The sequence below is a fragment of the Homo sapiens genome, chromosome 6 (assembly GCF_000001405.40).
Source record: "Homo sapiens chromosome 6, GRCh38.p14 Primary Assembly".
In the NCBI taxonomy this organism is placed as follows: Eukaryota; Metazoa; Chordata; class Mammalia; order Primates; family Hominidae; genus Homo; species Homo sapiens.
Genome location: NC_000006.12, coordinates 97,805,768 through 97,813,685, shown reverse-complemented (window position 1 = coordinate 97,813,685; position 7,918 = coordinate 97,805,768). Strand labels below are relative to the sequence as shown.

Genomic DNA, 7,918 nt, shown 5'->3' with positions numbered 1-7,918 from the left:
GGTATCAGACAAACTGAGACATAAATCCTGTTTATAATACTCTGGGGCACTGCTCTTAGATAAATTACTTGATCTCTTTAAGTTGAAGTTTCCTTATTTGTAAAATTATGATGGTAATTGTTTCTATTTCATGGAGTTAATAAAAGATAAAATTATGAGAGTATCTTATGTTTGTAAATAGTTTAATACACACATGTAAATAGTTTAATACACACAAAATATACACAAGAACTCAATAAATGTTAGCTACTAGAATACGTATGATAAAACTGGGTTCTTTAGGCACTACTATAGCATACATGACTTGCAAAAGTTGTATGTTATATTTATTTGATTAGCTCTAAGTTTATTGATTTTATTGTAACTTTCATTGAATCTGTCTTGGAGAATGTCAAAAGGTAAGTCTCCAATTCTTGCCTCAGTCTCTAGACCAAGTAAAATATTTCAGTCCATTTCATACTTCCTTCCAAAAAAGCATTAACATTAATGCTTCTTCCACCCTATGAAGGAAGACAGGAATGTCTTGAATGTCAGGAATGTCTTGAATGTCTCAATTCAACAAGAGTTCTTGAAGTCACCTGGACTTCTGCTCACTGCTGGTCTTTCCCTTGTTTCTGTCTTTCTGCTACTCACTTCAGAAAATTGCAGTATAGAATTGGTTACCCAGACCCTCATTCAGTTTCAGGTGTTTGACCTTTGAGTCTAGTTAATTAAACCATTATCTTTAGTTCTGTTTCCCACACTGACTTGTCACTGTGATATCATCTAACCTCACAATATCCTCTAGCAGGAGAAATGAAAGAGATCTTAACAGGCATCTTGTCTTCCATGGAATAAATCCATTTCTGCCTTTTGAAGAGTCTGCTGAAAGACTTCTGCTGAAGAAGACCTTACTTGCTTAGTTGAAAATCCTTTCCAACTGATAAATCACTGCCCTTTATACAATCAGAGACTGCCTACTTGGCAGTCTACTATATTATATTGCTTACTATGAACAGAATACATCTTTGCATGCCTGATCTTCAAAATATTGAAAACAACTATAATGGTATCCTTAAATTTCACCTTTTCTAATTTAAGCATACTCAATTCTATCATTCTTCATGATTTCTAGCCCTCTCCCCATAGAAATAGTCATCTTTAATTAGTTCTTAATTAATTATAGTTTATATATGAACTGTAATTTATTTTGTAGAAATAAATTGTTCCTTAAATGAGCACAGCAAAGCAACACAGGAATTGAGAAAATTTTTTGTTGTTGTTCATAAAACATTTTACCAAAGGCAGTGGTCCTATTCCTCTTCTTGCCCTAACTTGCCCTAAATTTTGCTCCCCAGGGCTCTTTTTTAAAATGAGTTTTCTATGAAGATTATAATTTTTTGTACTAGTTTTGGCATTGCTTTCAGAAATATGTTATGTATTTGAACTCATTCTTGGTTCTAAACTCCTTATACCACCTCTTGTGTCGATATGCTTTCCAGGTGTGGGTAACACATGGAGCTGCACACTAGTAGCATGCCACATCTCTTGCCTTTCTCACTACAGCTTTTTAAAATTATAAATCAAAATTCCTTTTTTAACCCTCCATCATTTTCTAACTATATTCATCTTAAGAGTCCCTGAACATGGAATTATACCCATATTTCTCTGAACTCTGAAATCTACTGACTGAAATTATATGGTGATCATATTTGGCTATGCATTTATGTAACTATTTAAAATTCTAACATAAAAATATTATTTTCTCAAAAGGTTAACATCACTTCTACTTTATGTACAAGTTCTTGTACAAAACAGTAGAATTTATCACACTGCTTCCTTACCTTTATGAGAAATTATGAGAGTGAAAACACATCAAATGTATTTTAGACTACTGGTATATAACAAATAGTGCTGTTCTTCATCACTGCCTCTGCCTTTGGACCAGTCTTATTATTGATAATAGGAAAATTTAAAGCACACTTTCCTTCTGATCAGGCTGTCAAATTAAATGCCGATAACTGCTTCACTTCTGTTTCTCTCTCAAATAATTTCTACTTACTTCCTTCATTTAGACCTGTGGATTCACACACACATAGACAAGCATACTCTCTCACCATGAAAAACTACAAATTAGATTTTTTTGTAAACAAGTTTCAGTGATCTACTTAATCATTAAATAATCTGATCAATTTCAGCGATACCAAGACTGTTATTGCTTTTTCTTTAGCATTTTACATTTATTTTTAAAATACGGTTAATTATTACATATGTGTGTATGTGCATTTGTATATATGTAACTTATGTGTATTGTTTTCTCCTTAGAATTACTGGGTACTTTCTTTTTTTTTTTTAATTTTTTGTAAAGATGAGGTGTCTCTATGTTGCCCGGGCTGGTCTCAAACTCCTGGGCTCAAGAAATCCTCCCACCTCTGCCTCCCAAATCACTTGGATTACAGGCATGCACCACTGTACGTGGCCATATTAGGTACTTTCTTGACACAGTTTTATAGTTTTTACTAGTTTACCATACAACTAGTTTATTCTTGCTTCCATGACTTCATTATTCTATGTATGTTGCTTTTATTAAACTGAGTAGTATCCAGTTTCTTTCAATTTTGATTGAAATTATTATTCTTTTTCAAATGTTACTTTATATTCTTATTGAATCTACTTCAAAATATACTCTTCCTGATGTCTCAGAACTCTGTCACCTATCAGGTGGCAAATCATCTGCAACTGTCAGCCACAGAGCACAAAAATAATAATTATAGTTTTTTCTTTCTTGAAAACTAGTATATTATCCTTATCTACCCCAAATCAAGGTCTTATACTGAAAGAAGAGATGAAAACACCACTTATGTCCTCAAAGCATTCTGTTTCCTTCCCAAGAAGACATATTGCATGATTCTTCTTCCAGATTTGTTCAATTATTTAACAAATCTTTACTAAGTGCCCTCTCTGTGTCAGCCATTCTCCTATCTAGACAGGCAGGTGAATCTGTTATAATAGGAAGAACAAGTCACCTAGTCAACAAACTGCATTGACATGTTGTGCATAATTCACAGACAGGACTTCAAATCTGAAACCAAATCCTACTTGGGATAGTCAGATCCCTTCAGTTTTTACAAATGGCCTATGCTTCAATTCAGCCTACAGAATTTTCTCTGGAATGTGTTGGAACTATTGTTATACATGATCAGAAAGATGTATTCAAACTCTCCATCCATTCCATTTGGGTTGTTTAGCCATTTACATTTAATATGAAAACCAATATGATTGGGTTTAATGTAACATCTTGCTTTTTATTTTCTATTTGTTACATCTGTTTTTATTCCCTATTTCTTTTGTTACTTTTGTTTGACTATGTTTTATCATCTCATTTTGTCTATACTATTTGCAAAATATTTTGCAAAGTATTTTGTCTATACTATTGGAAAATTAGCTATACCTCTTTTGAAAAGTGGTTGCCCTAGGGTTGAAAATATGCATACTTCAGAGTGTTCCTTTCAATATTTTACAACTTTTTAAATAACTTAAAACTCTTACAAGTGTATATTTCCATTTCTACTCTTTTCATTTGTCTACTGTTAGCATGCATTTTTGCACCCAATACACTGTCATTACTTTTTTCTTTTGAAAACTCCATTATATTTTTAAACATTTTAAATGAGAAAAAAGACTATTTCATTACTTATTTATTTACTATTCCCAGGGCTCTTCATTGCTTTCTATAGATTCAACTTTCTAGTTGTCTGTCATTTTCTGCCTGAAAAACGTCCTTTTGCATGTTGTGTAGTGCAGGTCTGCTGGTGATGAATTCTCTCATCTTTCACTTGCCTGAAAAAAATATTCTTTTGCTTTTGAAAGACACTTTTAATAGGCATACAAGTTGATAGTTTGTTTTTTTTTTCTCCTCGCATTTTTAATATATCATTCCACGGTTTTTGGCTTCTTTAAGTTTATAACAATTCTTACTGTTTTTCTATAATCTTTCTTTGGTTGCTTCATCACAGATTGTCAGCAGTTTGATGATGACATTCATTGGCATGGTTTTCATTAGACTTACCTTGCTTGAAGTTTGTTGCATGTTTTAATATGTGGATTTATATCTTCTTAAATCAAATTTGAAATATTTTTAGTAATTACTTTTTCAAATATTTTTCTGTTCCTCTTTCATTCTAGAAATCCAATTGCACTTATGTTAGACTACTTTATAATGTCTCACAAGTTACTGAGCCCTCATTGATTTTGTTTTGTCTATTCTTTGTTTTGTCTATTATTGGGTACTTTCTATTGCTGCGCCATTAAGTTCACTGACTTTTGTTTTCCTTCAGTCTCTAATATGTTAATGCCATCCTGAAAGTTTTGGTTCAGATTTTATATTTTTTCTTTCTAGTCATTCTTTTTGGTTCTTTAATATTGTGCAGATCGCTTGCTTCTTCTCATGTCTAGCAATTTGATAACACATACCATAAGTTTTATATTATTGAGTGCTGGATTTTGTTTTATTCTCTTTAAGTATTTTAGATGTTGTTCTAAAAGGCAGTTAAGTTATGTGTGACCTAGTTTGATCATTTTAAAACTTCATTTATTTATATTTTAGAGTGGATCTCAGCCCACCATATTTCAACACAATGATTTCAATAATGTTACTTTATGCTAGCTAATGGGAATTTTAACAATTCACATCCTTTTATGAGGTCTAAAACAATTTTGGCTTAACATTTCTCAGCAAATTTTTGTCCTTAGAATTTGTTTTTTTTTTTTTTTTTTTTAATCAGGCTTATGTAGTTTTACCTTATGCATGCACAGGTTTGTACAGGACCATATTGATTTCTGAAGTTCTTTCTTGACAGCTTTTAACTCTCTCATACTTTGCACTGTAAACTGCAGCAATCTCAGCCTCCCCACTCACCACTGTCTCTCAGGGATCATGATTCGGTACCCATTTTCTAATCTCTGAAAACAGTTGTCTTATGTATTTTTTCTGGTTTTCCAGTTATTTAAGGCAAGAGCATAAATTCAGACCTGACTACGAGTCTTAATAATTGTTACTGATCTATCTTCCAGTTCATTAGTTCTATTTTCAGCTATGTATATATGCTGTTAAAAACCTTCTATTGAGTTATTATAGCTCCAGAATATTGATGTTATTCTATTTATTGATTCCATTTTGTGTGAAGTAGTCCAGAGAGTTTTTTTCTTGAGAGTATTACTCAAAGATACCTTAAAATTCAATATCTCAATTTTAGCATTTCATCATCTGTGGACCTCTTTCTTTCGGTTATTTCTTTCTTTCTGGGATTTTGTTAATTTGTTCCTGTCTCCTAGCATGCATGGTAATTTTTCTAAATTGAAATTTAAATACAGAGTATGATGACTTAAAAGCTCTGGAAGACATTATAATATTTTCTTCAAGCGGGCCATTTGAGTAGGACAGATCATCTTTGTCTTATTAGGAATCAAGATGATTTGAGACTGGGTTTCAAAATTTGTGAAACCTTTCTCCTAGAACATTACCCTTCTGGGTTCTCAAGTTCTAGAGTTTTGAGGGGATCCCTCCTTCTTTTCAGGACTTAACCTCCTATTTTTGTCTCCCCAGCACTGTAAAATTACAGACAAGAAAAAAAACAATTTTTAAAAATGCTTATTCTCCTTGATTTCAAAGCTTTCTGCCTTATGAAGTTTAGAAATCTGAAAATTCCTCAACAGAAGGTGTTACTGAATATCAATTTCACCTCAATATCTTTTCCTTTTCCTTTTTTTTTTTTTTTTTTTTTTTTTTTTACAGAGTCTCACTCTGTCTCCAGAGTGCAGTGGCGCAATCCTGGCTCACTGCAATCTCTGCCTCGTGGGTTCAAGGAATTCTCCGGCCTCAGCCTCCTGAGAGGCTGGGACTAAAGGGGTATGACACCACGCCCAGTTAATTTTTGTATTTTTAGTAGAGACAGGGTTTCACCATGTTGGCCAGGATGGTCTCGATCTCCTAACCTCGTGATCCATCCGCCTTGGCCTCCCAAAGTGCTGGGATTACAGGCATGAGCCACAGCACCCGGCCTATTTTCCTTTTTATTAAGACTTTAGCCTTTCACGACCTGACTCTTTTGGTTTCTCTACAATGCCTTTAAGCAGCTACTTTTTGCATCATGAGCTTTTATTTCATTCTCCATGCAAAGCTTATTGTTGTAACAGGATTTGTTATTATATCTCAAGAAAAAAAAAACAGCATATGTTTTATAGCCTTTTAGACTATAAGATAACTATTTTTACATATGACATATCTATTACTTAGATTATTAGTTTCTTATAGTCAAAGACTCTGACTCATTATCTTTGGTTGTTCAGGGACTGAACAATTATTAATGTTTTGGTTGCACTTCTTATTCCCACTCCAGACTCCACACATACAAAAAAAGTCCTGTCTTCATACTTCTCTTCTGAACTCCTGCATACATCTCTACTTGCTATTTTCCGATTGCTAGTATCATCCTTCTCTTCTATCCCATGATATGTCCCTGATCTACTTAAAACACTGTTTTAAAATACTTTAGGAAGTTTTTTATTTCCTGGCCCTAAACAACTGTGATCAGAGCATAATCTATCATACTATCAGACCTCAGCAAACATATTCTTAATGTTCTGTGCCAAATCAAATGCTTTAAGTGAAGTCAGTACTGTATTCTCTTCCTCAGACAGACTTTGAGTCCCTTGACAGGAGAAGCTATCCCTTAACATCTACTCCCTTACTGATGTGAGTTCAGCACCATGTACACAACAGAGGTTTGATACATGTGGATTTGGTTATCTGTAAACCTCGAAAAGGAGACTCAATTATTTTTTAGTTGAGTGGGCATAACATGCTTCTCATTTGGCTCTGATTTCCAAACCATTATAATCAGAAAACATGGATATTCAATTAAAGCAATGCCTTCCAGCCCATGACACACGCTTGAAAACTTACTGTGCCACTGAGGAATTCATTAAAAAATATTGCTAACTATTTTGAAAAGACATATTGCACATCATTCAATATTTAAATCCAAAGTATTAGGTCAGAAACAACAGAAAGAAAAGTTAATACTCTTCTGAGGATGCAAAAATAGAAATGCATTTGCATTTGTTAATATAAAACTCCTTATTTTTATCACCTTGAGTTTGTTCTAGAAAACATTCAATAATCTAGGTTATCATTTTCAACATGTTTATCAATAAAGAAAGAATCCTGTCTTTCAATACTTTACCATAACATAGTTAAGAAAAATTCACCAATAATTTAAGCAAAATGGAGACTTTCCAATCACTTAATCTTACCATGAACGCTTGCATTTATTTTCCTATCCCTAGAATCCGTTCTCTAGCCGGAAGATATCTACCTTTTAATACAACTTGTTGGTAATCTCTGAGGGAAAGTAATATCCAAAAATGTTAGTCTTTATGTCTAAGTATTTTTAAGCATTGAAATTCACAGTAAATAAACCTTTAATCAGCAATAACACTTAAGAAACATTAAAGTACACACATGGAGAGTAAAATATCAGCATCACTCTCACACCATATGTAAATACTGGTTGAAGCAATTCCTACTACTTCACTTAACAATCAGAATGTTCCGGATCTACTGAAATTCTACCTTTTATATATTAGAATAAAAACATATGGATTTTTAAAAAATTACATTTGTTTTTAAAGATTAGCAAATATGCCCTTTCTGACTGTCACTTTTATCTAATTCAGCATTATTTTCCAAGTATAAATCAAAAAATAACAAAAATAAAAGATGAAAACACCTGCACAAAAGAGTGTTCAGTCCAACTAGTAGACAAAAAGAGAGAAAGAAAAAGGAAAAAAAAAGTAAACATGGCACAGTAGGAGAATAAAGCTTCTGGGGAAAGAAAGCAAAGCTGTGTGACAGATGGAAAGGTCTCAATGGATGAAT

General features: G+C 32.9%; 1 annotated feature.

Moving 5' to 3' along the window:
- Positions 316-817: an enhancer, noted in NCBI's record as "NANOG hESC enhancer chr6:98260745-98261246 (GRCh37/hg19 assembly coordinates)". NCBI's record gives its function as "activates a minimal SCP1, AML or CMV promoter by ChIP-STARR-seq in primed H9 embryonic stem cells {active_cell/tissue: H9 hESC(primed)}" and the evidence as "EXISTENCE:reporter gene assay evidence [ECO:0000049][PMID:30033119]".